Source organism: Homo sapiens, chromosome 20 (assembly GCF_000001405.40).
Source record: "Homo sapiens chromosome 20, GRCh38.p14 Primary Assembly".
Taxonomy (NCBI): domain Eukaryota; kingdom Metazoa; phylum Chordata; class Mammalia; order Primates; family Hominidae; genus Homo; species Homo sapiens.
The window spans coordinates 63,595,479-63,615,321 of NC_000020.11; the positions used below are offsets into that span (position 1 = coordinate 63,595,479).

The window sequence follows — 19,843 nt, forward strand, 5'->3', positions numbered from 1 at the left end:
CCCAGGCAGGAGACCGGCAGTCCTGGCGTGAGCAAACGCCTGGGGCCAAGGAGGCCACCCAGGGGCATGTCACCCTCTGTGGCCATGGCCAGGGTGGGGCTGGGTCAGGACGAGCAGCCCTGTGCACCTACCGTCGGCTGCGGCGGGCGTGAGGGGAATGTACTCGGCCGACGTGGGGCTGCTCAGGGACACACGGGCTCCTGAGAGGTCAATCTTTGTGCTGCGGCAGGTGTTGGAGCAGACCTTGTCATGCTGGTAGAAGTCCAGTTCCCCGGAGTCCATGATCTTCCTGTGACAGACAGTGGCATGGAGCGTCCAGGTCGGCCCCAGAGCCGAAGGCACCTGGCCCGCCCACCCTGACCTGGGCCATCCACCTGCGTGGGGCAGGCCTAGCAGAGGCGCTGGCAGCTCCACAGGGCAGGGTGGGCTCTACTTCCCTCTTAGCGCGAGCTCGGCGTGCAGGACCCTGCTGCTGAAGAAGCAGCCGGCCCAGGCCCACGCTACGGCACTGTCCCCAGGAAGGGGGCAAGCGCTGGCCAGTGGGTGTCCTGGAGGTGCCCGTCAGAGTCTGTGGGGCTGGGCCTTTCTGGGATGTCCCACTACCCCAGCCCCAAGGGAGTGACCCACAGCTAACAAAGGTGGGCCCAGTCCACCTGCATCATGCGTGACTCATTCTGAAGCAGAGGAAGGTGGGAAATCACTTCCAGGAGAACCTTCCTCCTTCTAAAGGCACAGAGACAGCCAAGAAGAGTGATGAGGGCGCAGGACAGCACCAACGGCCATGGCTGCCGCTCATCCTCATCTTTACCAGGAAGGCTTCGTACGGCCCAAACTGCTGAGAGCCGCCCTCCCAGGGCCCTCTCTTCTGCCTCTCCGGAGGTCCAGGGTCTCAGTCCTGTGTGTCTCAACGAGCCTGCCTCGACCCATGAAACGAGGGTCAGAGGCTCCAGCCTCATTCAATCTTTGGGCAGCACTGACCTCAGGCACACACAGGCTAATGCTTCTGTGGTCAGCTCAGGACTTGCCTACCTGGCCGGTGGTCCCCACAGCTGTGCCACCAGCCACGTTCCAGAAAATCAGAGGCCAGTTCAGCTGGACAGGGAAAGGACCTGAGCCATGGGAAAGGACCCAGGGCTAGTCACTCGTGAGGTCTCAAACTCTGACTCCAGCACAAAGCAGGGGCCCTCCTTGGGAAGCAAGGTAGAGGCCAGGCCCACAAAGACTGAGACTGAGGCTTATGATTCACAGATAAGTGAAGGCCGGGCACGGTGGCTCATGCCTGGAATCCCAGCACTTTGGGAGGCTGAGGCAGGTCAATCACCTGAGGTCAAGTGTTCGAGACCAGCCTGGACAATATGGCAAAATCCCGTCTCTACTAAAAATACAAAAATTAGCCGGGTGTGCTGGCGAGCACCTGTAAACCCAGCTACTGGGGAGGGTGAGGAAGAGAATCGCTTGAACCCAGGAGGCAGAGTTCGCAGTGAGCCAAGATCATGCCACTGCACTCCAGCCTGGGCAACAGAGCAAGACTCCCTCTCAAAAAAAAAGTGAAAGAAAGGACAGAAATAAGGAGTAACATAAAAGGCCAAAATCTGATGCACAAATACCAGATTATACCTTTCTTTTATTTTTTATTTTCAGAATGCATAATTGGAACAGACCCTTTTCTTTTCCTTTTTATTCTTGTTTTTTTTTTTTTTTGAGACAGAGTCTCACTCTGTAACCCAAGCTGTATTGCAGTGGCACAATCACAGCTCACTGCAGCCTTGACTTCCAGGCTCCAGTGATCCTTCCACCTTAGCCTCTCGAGCAGCTGGGACCACAGGCATATGTCACCAAATCCAGATAATTTTTTTTTTATTTTTAGTAGAGATGAGGTCTCATTATTGTGCCCAGGCTGGTCTCAAACTCTTGGCGTCAAGTGATCCTCCTGCCTCAGCCTCCTAAAGTGTTGGGATTGCAGGTGTGAGCCATGTGCCCAGCCAACCCTTTATTTTACAACGCTGAAACAGTCACAAGTGCCTTCAGGTAAAGAATTGGTGGAAATTAAAATGACTGACAAAACAATTCTAAAAATCTGATAGTGTCCCTGTTGGCAGGAGTGTGGGAGACGGGTTTACAGTTTTGGGTGTGAGCAGGTGCAGCAGCCACCCGGGAGGTTGTCAGCACTCACCACATCTAAAATACGCCTCATCTTCAAAATCCCAAAACCCCACAAGAAAGCAAGAGCTGCCAGGGCCCCTTCCAGCAGGGAGGCTGACCCTGCGCCAGCGCCCACCTGAGCATGATGCCGTTCATGCGGATGGCTCTCTTCCAGTCCTTCAGGGTGGACTTCCCGGCCAGGTGCACAAATTCCTTTGGGCTGATTACATGCTCGTCGTACTGTGGGGGACACAGTCATGTGGGTCAAGCTTGGCCGGGACACCACATAGGGTGCCCCCATCTCCCATCCGACCCTGAGTCAGGCGCGCAAGGCAGGAAAAGCGCCACGGCACGGCTCTGACCGGTGCAGGCCTCCTACAGAGCATTCAGGTAAAACAAGGACATGACCCACAGGCACGGTGGCTGCAGTGGGGAGTGGTGTCTCCTCCAGCCCTGAGGGGGCAGAGCTGCTGTGTGCCTGGGGCTAGACAGGGCTGGGCTGACCACACCAGGTAGAAGGTGTGTGGCCTTCTCTTCCTCCAGGCAGACTAAGCAAACTGCTTCTGTGCAATGTATTTTATAAATACACGTTATTGCATACGTTACATCGCAGATGGCAACAGATGCCAGCACATGGGTGGAGCTGTGAACGCCACCTTCCTCAGGTCCCTCCTGACACCACCTTGCCCCGTGCAGCAAACACCGGCACCTGCTCTCACTCTGACACACACACACACACACACACACACACACTCATCTGTTTCTAAGCCAGGGGAACCCTCCTGCTTGCTAATTTCACCCATGTGGGAGCTCAGAGAAACTGAGAAGGTAAAATATCCTGTTCAATCTTGTTACACAAGCAATTATTGAAACCAAAAACTGGAATAAAACTGCATTTACTTAGAAAACAAGCAGGCTGGGGATGGAGGAGTCACGAGGTCTCTGCAGCTGGACCCAGGAGGCCCGAGTACGGGGGCCGCCTCCACCCCCGGGCCGTGCCCAAGTCTAGCTTGCTGAAGGAAGTGATGTTCCCAATCCCTGAGCCCACCCTCTCATGACCCCTGTGCCACAGACGGGAACACTAAGCCCAGCCAGTCTCTGGCTCTCCCTCATGCGGCTGATCAGGGAGATCCCATAGAAGTCCAGAAGGTGGAATCCAGAAGATTCTCTGGCCACTGTCGGAGCCTGGCAGGAAGGCTGCACTGGCTGTGACTGAGGCTGCTTCCGGCCATCACTTCTACCCAACGTGGCTCACACCTAGGAAACTCAACTGCACCCAAAGGGCCTGATCCTACCTAGGGCTCTGGGCTCAGCCAGCCTCACCTCCCTGCCCCTCCTAGGCCTGCCTCTTTCCTTTCTTGCTTTCACCTTTGTTACTCTTCTCACCCCAGGTTTTCCTCTCCCAGCTAGGAAGCTACATGCTGTACTCTCATGAGTGGCTCCAGGAGCTTCAGCATGTCACGCTTACCAGAGCTGCCAGAGCCCAGAGCTAACGCGGCCACTCCTGACCCCCCAGAGCTAACGCAGCCGCTCCTGACCCTCCAGCGCTAACGCGGCCCGCTCCTGACCCCCCGGAGCTAACGTGGCCGCTCCTGACCCCCCGGAGCTAACTCGGCCCGCTCCTGACCCTCCAGACCACAGCCACGTGGCCCTGCTCTCATCTCTGAGGCCCTCCAGGGCGTCTCTCTCGATGCTGAATAGACAGGACTGGTCGGGTGACCCACGTTTCCCCGACTCTTCACACCTCCTCACAGCACAGCGCTTCCATCTGGAGGCCTCCTATCTCCGCCTGCAATGCATATTTAGAACATCCTTCCATCATGATCTGCTGGTGGCAAACTCGTGTCTTTTTCTGGAAACGTCTTTCTTCCAGCATAATTTCAAAGACGACCTCACGGTGTCGTCACTCGCCACACAGTGAGGCTCTGGCGCTGCCACCTCTGCTCCTGCGCTGCTTTCGGGAGCTCACGGCCGGCGGGATTCTTGCTACTGAGCGATCCGTCTCTCCTCCTGGCTAGACTGAGGATCTTCTCTGTCCCCGTCCTTCTGGAATTTCATTATGATGTCACCTATGGTACATTTCTTTCGTGTTTCCAACTTCTAATTCTAATACAATTTCAAACTCACAGGGTAATTGCCAGGATAGTCCAGGGAGCTCTCACACGTGCGTTCCGGACTCACTGCCTGCTCCCGTCTGCCCCCTTGCCCCCGCCTAGACCTGTGCACGTGCAGCTACTGAGAGTGAAGCAGAGACGTCGGGCCCCTGGGCCCTCAACACTTGTGTATATTTCCTAAGAACAAGCTTCTCTTACGCAGCCACAGAACAACTCGCATCAGGAAATTATCATTCATACATTATTCTCTAATCCATTGTCCATAGTCAAATTCATGAATTGTTCCAATGATAGCCTTTATTGCAAAAAAAAAATTTTTTTTTTTGAGATGGAGTCTCACTCTGTCGTCCAGGCTGGAGTGCACTGGTGCAATCTTGGGCTCACTGCAACCTCCGCCTCCCGGGTTCAAGAGATTCTCTTGCCTCAGCCTCCCGAGTAGCTGGGAGTACAGGCACATGCCACCATGCCTGGCCAATTTTTTTGTATTTGTCGCAGAGATGGGGTTTCACCATGTTGGCTGCGCTGGTCTCGAACTCCTGACCTCAGGTGATTCACCCGCCTCGGCCTCCCAAAGTGCTGGGATTACAGGCGTGAGTCACCATGCCCAGCCTACATTTTTTTCTGATGCAGGATCCAGCCCAAGACTGTGGAGCATGCAGCTGCCTTGCTCTTCGGCTTTTGTCCCCATTAAGACTGCAGCAGGCCGGGCGCGGTGGCTCACGCCTGTAATCCCAGCACTTTGGGAGGCCAAGGCGGGCAGGTCACCTGAGGTCAGGAGTTCGGGCTCAGCCTGGCCAACATGGCAAAACCCCATCTCTACTAAAAATACAAAAATCAGCCAGGCATGGTGGTGGGTGCCCGTAGTCCCAGCTACTCAGGAGGCTGAGGCAAGAGAATCACTTGAACCCAGGAAGCGGAGGTTGCGGTGAGCCAAGATCGCGCCATTGCACTCCAGTCTGGGCAACAGAGGAAGACTCCATCTCAAAAAAAAAAAAAAAAAAAAAAGACGGAGCAGCTTCTCAGCCTGTCTGTGTTTTTCTTCACCTTGACGTTTTTGGAGCTTGTGGGTCAGGTATTAACGTAGGCTGTCTCTCCATGAGTGTCTGCTGTTTTCTCATGAGTAGAGTCAGGCTATGAACTGTTGGAAGAACACCACAGACCTGCTCACTGCATCAGGAGGCTCAAAGGGGAGGTCTGTCCCGAGCCTGATGATGTGAAGATGGATCGCTGGGTTAAGGAGGCACCTGCCAGCTTTCCCACCACAGCTACGACTTACGTCTGCAATGGCTGCATGGTTTACAGGGATGCTCTGAAACTAGTCTGAGCACCCGCTCATGACTCTGACCCCATCATTCCTCCCATGCTTTACTTCTCTCTATGCATTTATTTAACATAAATAAATAACATGAAATATATGGAGATAGGTATATAGACTCATAGATTTTATTTTACTCGAGTGATGACCCATGACTATCACTATTTATTTGGATGCTAAAAGCCACCCTACATGCAGGCAGTGGGGTCTTCATCCAGGCTGGGGTCAGTCAGGGCCCTTGCACTGTGGACCACTCTTTCTCAGTTATGAAAGTTCTCAGACTCTCTCTCCTCCTTCCAGAACTCAAATAGATGTGTTTGACTCTCGTGCTTCCTGAATAAATTGCTTTATTTCTATTTACAAGTCCTACTTCTCTCTTCAGCTATGGCTAATCTGCTGAAGACCTATCCACTAAGTGTTGAACTTCAATCCTATCTCTAGTCGTGTTTCTGCAGAATCTACTTATGCTTTACTCATGCTCTCTTTTCTTTTTTTTTTTTTTAAGAAGAAACTGGGGTCTCAGTATGTTACCCAGGCTGCTCTTGAACTCCTGGGCTCAAGCAATCCTCCTGCCTCGGCCTCCCAAAGTGTCAGGATTGCAGGTGTTAAGCCATGGCACCCGGCCTCTTTTATTTCTTAAAATAAATTATTAAATATAACGATTTTATCTTCTAAGCCTTAAAACCCCAACAGCCGAGGCTGCTGCAGGGCCGACTCTGCAGCCTGTGGCTTCTGTGGGGCCTGTGGCTTCTGTGGGGCCTGTGGCTTCTGTGCTGCCTGTGGCTTCCGTGGGGCCTGTGGCTTCCGTGGGGCCTGTGGCTTCCGTGCTGCCTGTGGCTTCCGTGGGGCCTGTGGCTTCCGTGGGGCCTGTGGCTTCTGTGCTGCCTGTGGCTTCTGTGGGGCCTGTGGCTTCTGTGCTGCCTGTGGCTTCTGTGGGGCCTGTGGCTTCTGTGCAGCTTGTGGCTTCTGTGGGGCCTGTGGCTTCTGTGCAGCCTGTGGCTTCTGTGGCTTCTGCTCCAGGAGCACTACTTCTTGTGTGTCCAGGGTTCTGTGGAAATTACTTGAAACCTGAGATAAAGGTGAATTCTTCCAAAAAGTACTTTTTGTTTGTTTCTGTCAGATTCCTGGGGGAACTGCCAGCTGGGAGCCACTGATAACGACACTCTCAGCTTGAGGCTTTCAGACCATCCAGACCACCTATGAATCCTCAAGGGGGTGTCTCCTTCCCTCTGCCAGGGACAAGAGGTATGGGAGTACGTGGTGGATTCACCCTTGGAGGTGCCAGCTTTGGAAGGGACAGTCACCACCCAGCACGCACACCTCAAGGAAGCCCTGGGCTTTGTCTTCTGATCTCCAGCCCTGCAAGGCTGGGAAAACCAAGCTCAGGCCAAGGCTCTCAGGGCAAAAGCTGGGCTTGGCACCCCATCTGCCTCTCAATTCTGTCACCATTAGGTCCCCAGGCCTCAGCACTTCCTCTTTCTTAGCCCGTGTGAGGCAGCATCTGTAAGATGCTTTATGGAAATGTCTTCACTGGCATTTTCGGCTGTTCCACCACAGGTGAGCCTGGGCACCTGACCTATCAGTATTGTCAGAAAGAGAAGACCTTTCCCACTCATCCTAATCCTTACCAAAGAGGCAGCCTTTTTGGAGCAGCTCTCACTGGATCTGCTGGGTAAAGCTCCTTGTCCAGGAGGGGCAGCCTCCTCCACACAGCGGGAGGGCCTCCCAGCCTCCCTGCCACAGTGCACTGTGGCCACAGCGAATTCCTCTTCCTGAAGGTTCTTCCCGCACCTCCTTCACTCTCCCCAGCCCTGGAGACCCTGCCTCAGGATGCACTCAGCACAGCTGCACCCCCAAAGCAGTCACAGACACCATGAGGCCTCTCTCCTGGGCCCTGAATGCAGCCTGTGCTCACCTGAACACATTTCACATTGATGCCGGGACACACAAACTTCCTCCAGATGAGGTTGGCTCTGCTGTCTCCACAGGTGATGGGGTACACAATCTCAGCTTCCAGGTTCTCCCCCTCTTCAGCCATCTTCACTTCTCACAGGCACATTGACAGGGAAGGGTAAAAGCAGAACATCAGTTACAACCTCTTCAAAGCATTTCCTGAAAATGCAGAAAATAGCTACCAACATGGAAACCAAAAATTAAAATCCAGGAAGGCCTGAGATAGAGCCAAGGTGGGCAGGGCATGCCCATCAGTGCCATTAGAGTTTCAGGGTTAAACCCACTAAACAGATTTAAATATCGTTACATTAACAGAATTCCATTAAACTATGGTTCAACTGAAGACCCACTTAGGAAAATAAAATCAAACTTTAATTGAAACAATTCTAGGGAAACCTAAGGTTTTAAAGGTTCTAGGGCCTTTAATCTCAGGCAAAAGAAAAATATTAAGAGTGTTATAAAGAATTTTTGTAATCCCAGCACTTTGGGAGGCCGAGGCAGGCGGATCACGAAGTCAAGAGATCAAGACCATCCTGGCCAACATGGTGAAACCCCGTCTCTACTAAAAATACAAAAATTAGCCAGGCATGGTGGCGGGCACCTGTAGTCCCAGCTACTGGGAAGGCTGAGGCAGGAGGCTGAGGCAGGAGAATGGCATGAACCCGGGAGGTGGAGGTTGCAGTGAGTCGAGATCGCGCCACCGCACTCCAGCCTGGGTGACAGAGCAAGACTCCCTCTCAAAAAAAGAAAAAAAAAGAATTTTTACTGGGCCAGGCGAGGTGGCTCACACCTGTAATCCCAGCACTTTGGGAGGCCCAGGTGGGTGGATCACCTGAGGTCAGGAGTTTGACACCAGCCTGGCCCAACATGGCAAAACCCCATCTCTACTAAAAATACAAAAATTAGCTGGGCATGGTGGCATGTGCTTGTAATCTCAGCTACTTGGGAGGCTGAGGCAGGAGAAGTGCTTGAACCTGCAGGGCAGAAGTTGCAGTGAGCTGAGATCATGCCATCACACTCTAGCCTGGGCGACAGAGTGAGACTCCGTCTCAAAAAAAAAAAAAAAAACAGAATTTTTACTGGCCAGGCTCAGTGGCTCACACCTGTAATCCCAACACTTTGGGAGGCTGAGGCTGGAGGATCACATGAGGCCAGGAGTTCGAGACCAGCCTGGGCAACAGTGGGACCCTATTTCTTGAAAAAAAAAAAAAAAAAAAGTTTTTTAATTAGCTGGGTATGGTGGCACATGCCTGTAGTCCCAGCTACTCAGGAGGCTGAGGTAGGAGGATCATCTGAGCCTGGGAGGTTAAGGCTATGGTGAACGGTGATCGTGCCACTGCACTCTAGCCTGGGCAACAGAACAAGACCCTGTCTCAAAAAACAAAACCTTCTTTTACTACCATTCACTGATCGTTATAATAAACAGACACAGGCAAAACAAGAGTACTGAAACAGTGAGAAGAAAACAAAATCCAAAAGAGGAGAGAGCTGCAAACTTGGGGCCAGGTGACTTTGCTCTCCTATTAGTCATGGGCAGAGAAAGGGCTGTCATTACAGACACATGGCAGGTTCCACCTGGGGGACCTGGGGCCTGGCCTCTCACTCCTAAGGGCACACAGCTTGGGAATCAGCCCGAACAAAGACCTTGTATATCTCTGGCTGTTCCTCATTTTGAGTGCAGGACTGTCCTGTCCCTGCTGCGGCAAGAAGGCAGACTTCCCACCTAGGACGGCTTCCTACCTAACACGGCTTCCTTGAGCTGGGAGGAGGCTGTGAAGGCCGCGGCAGCTGCTGCCGCTGCATTTTCTGTCTCCATGTTATCTTCCGTCAGGTCGCCCCTGGTGAAGTGAAGGGAGGAGAGAATAGAATCAGGATCCCGGAGGGCACAACCTGCAGGGCACTATTTTCCTGACAGCGCTTTGCTGACCTGTTACACTCTTCTAACTGAATTCAGAAATGGCAGAGGGGCCGGGTGCGGTGGCTCAAGCCTGTAATCCCAGCACTTTGGGAGGCTGAGGTGGGAGGGTCACTTGAGGTCAGGAGTTCGAGACCAGCCTGGCCAACACGGTGAAACCCCATCTCTATTTAAAAAAATACAAAAATTACCTGGACATGGTGGTACATGCCTGTAGAAGTTGGGGTAGGAGAACCGCTTGAACCTGGGAGGCAGAGATTGCAGTGAGCCAAGATCACACCACTGCACTCCAGCCTGGGTGAGAGAGCGAGACTCTGTCTCAAAAAACAAAAAGGCCAGGTGCGGTGGCTCATGCCTATAATCCCAGCAGTTTGGGAGGCCGAGGCAGGTGAATCACCTGAGGTCAGAAGTTTGAGATCAGCCTGGCCAACATGGTAAAACCTCGTCTTTACTAAAAATACAAAAATTAGCTGGGTGTGGTGGCTCGAGCCCGTAATCCCAGCTACTCAGGAGGCTGAGACCACAGAATCACTTGAACCCGAGAGGTGTGAGTGGGGATTGTGTCACCGCACTCCAGCCTGGGCGACAGAGCAAGATGCCGTCAAAATTAAAAAAAAAAAAAAAAAAGAAATGGCAGAGGCTGCGCAGGTCTGAGCACTGATGGGGACAAGCTGGTCTCGAGATCACACATTTTCTGTTTGGTTCATGGTGGCGAGCACCCAGAACGGCACCCAGCAGGTAAAGCCAGCAGGTGAGGCTGGGTGCAGTGGCTCACGCCTGTAATCCCAGTACTTTGGGAGGCTGAGGCGGGCAGATCACTTGAGGTCAGGAGTTCGAGACCAGCCTGGCCAACATGGTGAAACCTCATCTCTAACCAAAATAAAAAAATTAGCCAGGCGTGGTGGTACACACCTGTAATCCCAGCTACTTGGGAGGCCAAGACAGGAGAATCGCCTGAACCCCGGAAACAGAGGTTGCAGTGAGCCGAGATTGTACCACTGCATTCCAGCCTGGGCAACAGAGCAAGACTCTGTCTCAGGGGAAAAAAAAAACCCAGCAGGTGAAACCAGCAGGATTCATGGAGGCAGCGAGTGCCCCAGCAAGGATTCTATGCTTCCATTTCTGTCTTTAATAAAGTGTTTTATTTCCACAATAATTACTTCATATGGCTATAGAAACTATCAGAAAATACAAAATTTTAGAAGAAAAGTCACTATGGCCCAACCTCATAAAAAACTAAATTGTAGACAAAAGGGTAAAAGATGAAACCATAAAAGTATTAGAAGGAAAAAAATAAGTTTTTTTTACTTGTTTCAAAGTGACAAAGGGTTTTCTCATACAATACAAAACCAAGAAATAAAAAAAGATAACTTTGCCTTAAAAAATAAAAATAAAAACTTTCAATGCCAGGAAAAAAAACACCACAAACAATTTTTTTTTTTTTTTTTGAGACGGAGTCTCGCTCTGTCGCTCAGGCTGGAGTGCAGTGGCGCAATCCCCGCCCACTGCAAGCTCTGCCTTCCGGGTTCACACCATTCTCCTGCCTCAGCCTCCCGAGTAGCTGGGACTACAGGCGCCCGCCACCATGCCTGGCTAATTTTTTGTATTTTTGTTAGAGACAGGGTTTCACTGTGTTAACCAGGATGGTCTCGATCTCCTGACCTCGTGATCCTCCCACCTCGGCCTACCAAAGTGCTGGGATTACAGGCATGAGCCACTGCGCCCAGCCACCACAAACAATTTTTTAAGAAAAGAAAGAACTTGGTGGCAAAATGCTTAAAACATAAGGACAACAAACCACTTATTTCCTGATATGACATAAAGAGGTCCCACCATTGCACTCCAGACCAATGTCACAACACAACAGGGAAACGCAAAGGCCCCAAGCAGGGGCTCTGGAGAAACCCTGGAAAGACACTCATGACAAATGCAAACAGAAACCAGTACATGAGGCCACTTTCCCCTAGAGAGCCCACAGGAAGGAACCAGCGTTACCACGCGTACGGGAGAGTCTTGGGATGGTGGTGCCGGCCCAGGACGCAGGACTCCAATGGAGTCGTTGGTGAGAGCTATGAGGAGGGCACTCCGCCTGCAGCCTAGAAACATGCCCCTCTGACCCACCTCCATTTCTAGAAACATGCCCCTCTGACCCACCTCCATTTCTAGAAACATGCCCCTCTAACCCACCTCCATTTCTAGAAACATGCACATATGACCCACAAGTCCATTTCTAGAAACATGCCCCTTTGACCCACCTCCATTTCCAGAAACATGCCCCTCTGACCCACCTCCATTTCTAGAAACATGCCCCTCTGACCCACCTCCATTTCTAGAAACATGCCCCTCTGACCCCACATCCATTTCTAGAAACATGCCCCTCTGACCCACACCTCCATTTCTAGAAACATGCCCCTCTGACCTCACCTCCATTTCTAGAAACATGTCCCTCTGACCCACCTCCATTTCTAGAAACATGCCCCTGTGACCCCACATCCATTTCTAGAAACATGCCCCTGACCCCACCTCCATTTCTAGAAACATGCCCCTGTGACCTCACCTCCATTTCTAGAAACATGCCCCTCTGACCCACACATCCATTTCTAGAAACATGCCCCTCTGACCCCACCTCCATTTCTAGAAACATGCCCCTCTGACCCCACCTCCATTTCTAGAAACATGCCCCTCTGACCCACACATCCATTTCTAGAAACATGCCCCTCTGACCCCACATCCATTTCTAGAAACATGCCCCTCTGACCCACACCTCCATTTCTAGAAACATGCCCCTGTGACCCCACCTCCATTTCTAGAAACATGCCCCTCTGACCCCACATCCATTTCTAGAAACATGCCCCTCTGACCCCACATCCATTTCTAGAAACATGCCCCTCTGACCCACACCTCCATTTCTAGAAACATGCCCCTCTGACCCCACCTCCATTTCTAGAAACATGCCCCTGTGACCTCACCTCCATTTCTAGAAACATGCCCCTCTGACCTCACCTCCATTTCTAGAAACATGCCCCTCTGACCCACACCTCCATTTCTAGAAACATGCCCCTGTGACCTCACCTCCATTTCTAGAAACATGCCCCTCTGACCCCACATCCATTTCTAGAAACATGCCCCTCTGACCCCACATCCATTTCTAGAAACATGCCCCTCTGACCTCACCTCCATTTCTAGAAACATGCCCGTGACCCCACATCCATTTCTAGAAACATGCCCCTCTGACCCCACATCCATTTCTAGAAACATGCCCCTGTGACCTCACCTCCATTTCTAGAAACATGCCCCTCTGACCTCACCTCCATTTCTAGAAACATGCCCCTCTGACCCACACCTCCATTTCTAGAAACATGCCCCTGTGACCTCACCTCCATTTCTAGAAACATGCCCCTCTGACCCCACATCCATTTCTAGAAACATGCCCCTCTGACCCCACATCCATTTCTAGAAACATGCCCCTCTGACCTCACCTCCATTTCTAGAAACATGCCCGTGACCCCACATCCATTTCTAGAAACATGTCCCTCTGACCCCACATCCATTTCTAGAAACATGCCCCTCTGACCCCACCTCCATTTCTAGAAACATGTCCCTCTGACCCCACATCCATTTCTAGAAACATGCCCCTCTGACCCCACCTCCATTTCTAGAAACATGTCCCTCTGACCCCACATCCATTTCTAGAAACATGCCCCTCTGACCTCACCTCCATTTCTAGAAACATGCCCCTGTGACCCCACCTCCATTTCTAGAAACATGTCCCTCTGACCCCACATCCATTTCTAGAAACATGCCCCTCTGACCCCACCTCCATTTCTAGAAACATGTCCCTCTGACCCCACATCCATTTCTAGAAACATGCCCCTCTGACCCCACCTCCATTTCTAGAAACATGCCCCTCTGACCCACACCTCCATTTCTAGAAACATGCCCCTCTGACCCCACATCCATTTCTAGAAACATGCCCCTCTGACCTCACCTCCATTTCTAGAAACATGCCCCTGTGACCCCACCTCCATTTCTAGAAACATGCCCCTCTGACTCACCTCCATTTCTAGAAACATGCCCCTCTGACCCACACCTCCATTTCTAGAAACATGTCCCTCTGACCCACACCTCCATTTCTAGAAACATGCCCCTGACCCCACACCTCCATTTCTAGAAACATGCCCCTCTGACCCACCTCCATTTCCAGAAACATGCCCCTCTGACCCCACACATCCATTTCTAGAAACATGTCCCTCTGACTCACCTCCATTTCTAGAAACATGCCACTCTGACCCCACACATCCATTTCTAGAAACATGCCCCTCTGACCCACCTCCATTTCCAGAAACATGCCCCTCTGACCCCACACATCCATTTCTAGAAACATGTCCCTCTGACTCACCTCCATTTCTAGAAACATGCCACTCTGACCCCACACATCCATTTCTAGAAACATGCCCCTCTGACCTCACCTCCATTTCTAGAAACATGCCCCTCTGACCCCACCTCCATTTCTAGAAACATGCCCCTCTCACCCCACATCCATTTCTAGAAACATGTCCCTCTGACCCCACATCCATTTCTAGAAACATGCCCCTCTGACCCCACCTCCATTTCTAGAAACATGCCCCTCTGACCTCACCTCCATTTCTAGAAACATGCCCCTCTGACCCACCTCCATTTCTAGAAACATGCCCCTCTCACCCCACATCCATTTCTAGAAACATGCCCCTCTGACCCACCTCCATTTCTAGAAACATGCCCCTCTGACCCACCTCCATTTCTAGAAACATGCCCCTCTGACCCACACCTCCATTTCTAGAAACATGTCCCTCTGACCCCACCTCCATTTCTAGAAACATGCCCCTCTGACCCCACCTCCATTTCTAGAAACATGCCCCTCTGACCCACACCTCCATTTCTAGAAACATGCCCCTCTGACCTCACCTCCATTTCTAGAAACATGCCCCTCTGACCCACACATCCATTTCTAGAAACATGCCCCTCTGACCCCACCTCCATTTCTAGAAACATGCCCCTCTGACCCCACCTCCATTTCTAGAAACATGCCCCTCTGACTCCACCTCCATTTCTAGAAATTAATCCTGCAGACATGGTGTTCCCACACTGGCATGAGGGTTGTCTGAAACAGGGAACAAGTCTCCAGTTTCTGGAACCCGTGCGGGCAGCTGCCTCTGGGGAGATGATGTGGAGAAGCTGGGAGAGGTCTGGGTGGGGTTCCCAGCTGTGCACCTCATAACAGCCAACTGTATGATGTGTGCACTTCTAAACTTCCAGAAGTTTGCTTAAAAACACACGCACACCAGCCGGGCACGGTGGCTCACACCTGTAATCCCAGCACTTTGGGAGGCCGAGGCAGGCGGATCACAAGGTCAGGAGATCGAGACCATCCTGGCTAACACGGTGAAACCCCGTCTCTACTAAAAATACAAAAAATTAGCCGGGCGTGGTGGCGGGCGCCTGTAGGCCCAGCTACTCAGGAGGCTGAGGCAAGAGAATGGCGTGAACCCGGGAGGTGGAGGTTACAGTGAGCCGAGATCGCGCCATTGCACTCCAGTCTGGGCGACAGAGTGAGAATCTGTCTCAAAAAAAGAAAACAAAACAAAAAAAACATGTAGCAAGAGGAAGTCTCAATTTCCAGATGGTAGAAGAACAGATTTAATTCCCCACAAAAAAGAAGAGGATCTTTAAGTCCTTCAAGACAGCCCTGCCTCAGCTGCCACGTGGGGTTCTCTTCTCAGAGAAGAAGGCGCATGCAGACTCTCCACTGCTCCATAAGCCACTGTCCCGCGAGGGCAGAGCCTTGGCGTCCTGGCAAAGCAACTGCAGACTGAAAAATGCCCTCTGGTCCTTCATGGCTCCCTCCATCAAGACAGGGGGCTATTTCCCACCCCCTCCACTTGACTTTGGGCCAAGCTTTGAAGAGCTTTGACCAAGAGGCTGTGACGAGGCCCTACGAGGACTCTGGCTCTCCTCCTGCTAAGCACACCCAGGCAGGTGTCCTGGCAGATGAGGACCACATGCAGAGCCTCGGCCAGCCCACCAATGCCCGGATATGCAAGTGAGCCCAGCCTGGACCCCCCGGCGAGGCCCAGCAGCACCAGCCCAGGCCCGAAAACCTTAAGAAATGACCAGTGTCTGCTGCTTTAAGCCACCAAGCTCTGCGGTGGTTTGTTAGGCTGCAAGCATGGCTAATTCAGAAACTGCCAGAAACAAGCACTGCTGTCCCCAGCCTGGGACACACAGCACCGCCTCTGCGTGGGGAGAGGGCACAGGCTAAGGGCACAAATGCCATCCCAGACCCGGCTCTTGTGTGTGGAAGGGGCCACTGTGCCATGAGGCAGAGGAAACCTTGGCAGGACCTTATGCCACAGCAATTTAAAAGAGAAGAAACAGGCTGGGCGTGGTGGCTCATGCCTATAATCCCAGCACTTTGGGAGGCCAAGGTGGTGGATCACTTGAGGTCAGGAGTTCAAGACCAGCCTGGCCAATATGGTGAAACCCTGTCTCTACGAAAAATACAAAATTTAGGCAGGCGTGGTGGCGGGTGCCTGTAATCCCTGCTATTCAGGAGGCTGAGGCAAGAGATTTACTTGAACCCGGGAGGTGGAGGCTGCTGCAGTGAGCTGAGATCATGCCACTGCACTCCAGCCTGTGTGACGGAGTGAGACTTGGTCTCAAAAAAAAAAAAGGAAACACATCTGACTAGTGTGATCTCGCAAGGAACATTCCAGACACAGTGGAGCTAGAAGGTTCTTCTCCAAACAAGGAATCCCCAGGGGATCAAATTGTTTTGCATCGGCCAGACATGGTGGCTCAAGCCTGTAACCCCAGTGCTTCGGGAGGCTGAGGTGGGAGGACTGCTTGAGTCCAGGAGTTCAAGACTAGCTTGGGCAACACAGTGAGAGCCCATTAGCCAGGCGTGGTGGCACATGCCTGCAGTCCCAGCACTGTACTAAAAATCTACACGGGGCCGGGCATGGTGGCACATGCCTGTAGAGTCCCAGCTACTCAGGAGGCTGAGGCAGGACGATTCCTTGAACCCAGGAGGTCACGGCTGCCATGAGCCGTGACTGTGCCACTGCACTCCAGTCTGTGCAACAGAACGAGACTCTGTTTCGAAAAACAAAAAATCATTTCATGTCTCCAGTTTCTCCACTGGCAAAAGACTCTGTCAAGGTAAAAAATGGTTCTGACCCACAGAAATCTAAGAAAGGAAAAAATATAAAAAATAGAAAATTTAAAAAAGAGATGGTCTCAGAATAAAGACCAACCTGGGCTATGGTTGTCACTCTTCCCTCACACCTTAGAAAGCTTTCTGGCCGCATCTGGCCAAAGGGCCACCCTGCCCCATCTTGGATCAGTGAGGTGCCTTCGAACAAGCCACCTGCCCTGGAGCCCGTCCTGTCTTGTCTGCCACCGCACGCTCAGTAGGGGAGGGGAAGTCGCTAGGTTTTAGTTCACCAGTCTCTGGATCAAGACGTGCCATAACCAAGAAGCCCCAGCCACACCCAGACCCGACGTGGCCACAAGGGGTGAGCTGGGAAGGCCCAGGAAAAGGCGGGAGGCGGACGAATGGAAATGTCATTCTGTGGCCACAGAAATGATCTCAACGTTTTGTAACTTCCTACCAAGAGGCAGTCTTAGCTCTGCCCTTGAACCAGCACTTGGTGATGTCGCTTGCGTCAATCAAGGCAACAGAAGTGAGCAGGAGGCCCACTTTCCTCTGCAACTGTGGGCTTACGGGGCAAAGAAGTCCAGGCCTCCAGGTGGAGGATCACAGACCGGGCAAAGCAGAGGAGAGCCACCCAGCCGAGCCTACCTGTGCCTCAGACTGCCTCCCTCCAGAGACCCCTGTGGCCAAGGCCACCCAGACCAGCAGGTCCTTGCCAAGCTGTCAGCTGACGACAGGGGTTGGTGAGGCCGGCCCAGACCAGCAGAACCACGAACCAACCAACAGAATTAAAAATAATAACAACTATGTCTTGTCTTAAGCCACTAAGTTTTGGATGGTTTCTTTCTTTCTTTTTCTTTTTTTTTTTCGGAGACGCAGTCTCACTCTGTTGCCCAGGCTGGAGTGCAGTGGCGCAATCTTGGCTCACTGCAAGCTCTGCCCCCCGGATTCACGCCATTCCCCTGCCTCAGCCTCCTGAGTAACTGGGACTACAGGTGCCTGCCATTGGGTGTTTTCTTAAACAGCAAAAGAAAACTGACACAATCATAAACAGAGCAAGCAAGAGAACTTGGCAATTATTTCCTCTCTACTTCTCACTGTTCTTCAAAGAGTTAACTCAAGCATAAGATGTGAGCAAATTCTTTTAACATCCTAGAAAAAAAGCTCCTACTCAGTGTTCATAAAGCAAAGCTAACCTACAGGAGCCACCTTCCACAGTGACCACAGGAAACCAAGACAGCAAGTGGGACACCAGCCTCCAGGGCACTGCGCCAGCCGTGCGCCTGTGTCTGCCACTGCCCTGGTCCGTCACTGCCACCAGCCGGCAAGACACCCACAGAGGAGAGCTCTAAGCCACAACTGTGTACGAAGACAACTGTGCAGGATTTTATTACTACAACATTTTTGTTTTCTTTTTTTTTTTTTTTTGAGACTGAGTCTCGCTCTGTCACCCAGGCTGGAGTGCAGTGGCACAATCTCGGCTCACTGTAACCTCCATCTCCCTGGTTCAAGCAATTCTCCTGCTGCAGCCTCCCAACTGGATTACAGGCGCCCGCCACCACGCCTGGCTAATTTTTGTACTTTTAGTAGAGACGGGGTTTCACCATGTTGGCCAGACTGGTCTCAAATTCCTGACAAGTGATCCACCCACCCTGGCCTCCCAAAGTGCTGGGATTACAGGTGTGAGCCACTGCGCCTGGCCCATTTTTGTTTATCAATAAAAATGTACTTAATGTTGAACTCTCCACATTTCAAATGGGTAACTCCAGTGTCCTTGATGCTCCTGCGACATGTTCGTGAGACTTCTCTTGGGTGTGAGAGTCTAGCATGTGGGTGGTCTGGACAGGAGGGGGAGGGAAGAGTGCAGAGCAGGGCAGGGTAAAGAGACCCCCTAGGATGTGAAGGCCGCCCTGCATTTGTCAGACTGGGCAACACCCACTCCATCAGATGGACCCTGGTATGGGCGGCAAGCCACCTAGGTGCCGAGGCAAGAGACCGAGGGCACGAGCTGTTCCGGTGTAATAAAATGCATAAAATAAGAATAGTTATACTAGATATAGATCATAAATATGATTATATATGAATATCATTCATCATTAGTTTGTAGCAATTACTCTTTATTCCAATATTATAATAATCCTTGCCTAAGCATAACCTAGGAAAAACTAGGAAATCATAACCTAGGAAAAACTAGGCCATACAGAGATAGGAGCTGAGGGGACATAGTGAGAACTGACCAGAAGACAAGAGTGCGAGCCTTCTGTTATGCCTGGACAGGGCCACCAGAGGGCTCCTTGGTCTAGCGGTAACGCCAGCATCTGGGAAGACGCCCGTTGCCAAGTGGACCGTGGTCTAGCGGTAGCCTCAGTGTCAAGGAAAAACACCCGCTACTTAGCAAACCAGGAAAGAGAGTCTCCCTTTCCCCGGGGGAGTTTAGAGAAGACTCTACTCCTCCACCTCTTGCGGAGGGCCTGACATCAGTCAGGCCCGCCCGCAGTTATCCGGAGGCCTAACCGTCTCCCTGTGATGCTGTGCTTCAGTGGTCACGCTCCTAGTCCGCCTTCATGTTCCATCCTGTGCACCTGGCTCTGCCTTCTAGATAGCAGCAGCAAATTAGTGAAAGTACTGAAAGTCTCTGATAAGCAGAAATAATGGCGTAAGCGGTCTCTCTCTCTCTCTCCTCTCTCTCTGCCTCAGCTGCCAGGAAGGGAAGGGCCCCCTGGCCAGTGGGCACGTGACCCACATGACCTTACCTATCACTGGACATGGTTCACACTCCTTACCCTGCCGCTTTGTCTTGTATCCAATAAATAGCGCAACCTGGCATTCGGGGCCGCTACCAGTCTCCGCGTCTTGGTGGTAGTGGTCCCCCAGGCCCAGCTGTCTTTTTCTTTTATCTTTGTCTTGTGTCTTTATTTCTACACTCTCTCATCTCCGCATACGAGGAGAAAACCCACCAACCCTGTGGGGCTGGTCCCTACACCCTGGCTTTGTAGACTGGAGCCTAGGCACGACTCAGCTGCTGTAGTGAATTGCGATCCTCCAAACCCAGCAAGGCACCTGCAGGACATCTGGCCCAGTCTCCTCGTTGAGCCAGTTCACGAAAAAGAGACTTTTCTGAGTGACATGCTAATGGGCAATATGAGGACTAAATGGGATGGTCTCCAACTTGGACAAACCAACAGTAAAAGCCACTTTGCGGGGAAAGAAAC

At 51.9% G+C, this 19,843-nt stretch overlaps 1 protein-coding gene across 6 annotated transcripts in view, besides 5 other annotated features; it reads right to left on the reverse strand.

The window, feature by feature from the left end:
• GMEB2 (glucocorticoid modulatory element binding protein 2) overlaps positions 1–19,843 on the reverse strand; it is a 39,497-nt gene that overhangs the window by 7,874 nt on the left and 11,780 nt on the right. For 4 of the 6 annotated variants that reach the window (NM_012384.5, XM_047440106.1, XM_005260202.5 and 1 more), the window contains 4 exons: positions 9,265–9,362; positions 7,487–7,614; positions 2,279–2,382; positions 132–289 (listed from right to left, as the gene is read on the reverse strand). In NM_012384.5, the coding sequence (NP_036516.1) occupies positions 132–289; positions 2,279–2,382; positions 7,487–7,614; positions 9,265–9,362 (488 nt within the window). Of the gene's footprint in view, positions 1–131; positions 290–2,278; positions 2,383–7,486; positions 7,684–9,264; positions 9,363–19,843 lie in introns of those variants that run through there. The other 2 variants (XM_006723776.3, XM_011528779.3) reach the window with 2 other exon arrangements.
• Positions 2,328–2,497: an enhancer, noted in NCBI's record as "experimental_61169 CRE fragment used in MPRA reporter constructs". NCBI's record gives its function as "activates a minimal promoter by MPRAs in K562 erythroleukemia cells, with activity observed for the non-introgressed 20:62229244 variant allele {active_cell/tissue: K562}" and the evidence as "EXISTENCE:reporter gene assay evidence [ECO:0000049][PMID:34662402]".
• Positions 11,170–11,339: an enhancer, noted in NCBI's record as "experimental_61181 CRE fragment used in MPRA reporter constructs". NCBI's record gives its function as "activates a minimal promoter by MPRAs in K562 erythroleukemia cells, with activity observed for both the introgressed and non-introgressed 20:62238086 or rs4809313 variant alleles {active_cell/tissue: K562}" and the evidence as "EXISTENCE:reporter gene assay evidence [ECO:0000049][PMID:34662402]".
• Position 11,255: a transcriptional cis regulatory region, noted in NCBI's record as "Neanderthal adaptively introgressed variant 20:62238086 (GRCh37/hg19 assembly coordinates) or rs4809313 in the experimental_61181 CRE". NCBI's record gives its function as "modulates activity of the experimental_61181 enhancer by MPRAs in K562 erythroleukemia cells {active_cell/tissue: K562}" and the evidence as "EXISTENCE:reporter gene assay evidence [ECO:0000049][PMID:34662402]".
• Positions 15,015–15,184: an enhancer, noted in NCBI's record as "experimental_61184 CRE fragment used in MPRA reporter constructs". NCBI's record gives its function as "activates a minimal promoter by MPRAs in K562 erythroleukemia cells, with activity observed for both the introgressed and non-introgressed 20:62241931 variant alleles {active_cell/tissue: K562}" and the evidence as "EXISTENCE:reporter gene assay evidence [ECO:0000049][PMID:34662402]".
• Positions 18,481–18,650: an enhancer, noted in NCBI's record as "experimental_61189 CRE fragment used in MPRA reporter constructs". NCBI's record gives its function as "activates a minimal promoter by MPRAs in K562 erythroleukemia cells, with activity observed for both the introgressed and non-introgressed 20:62245397 variant alleles {active_cell/tissue: K562}" and the evidence as "EXISTENCE:reporter gene assay evidence [ECO:0000049][PMID:34662402]".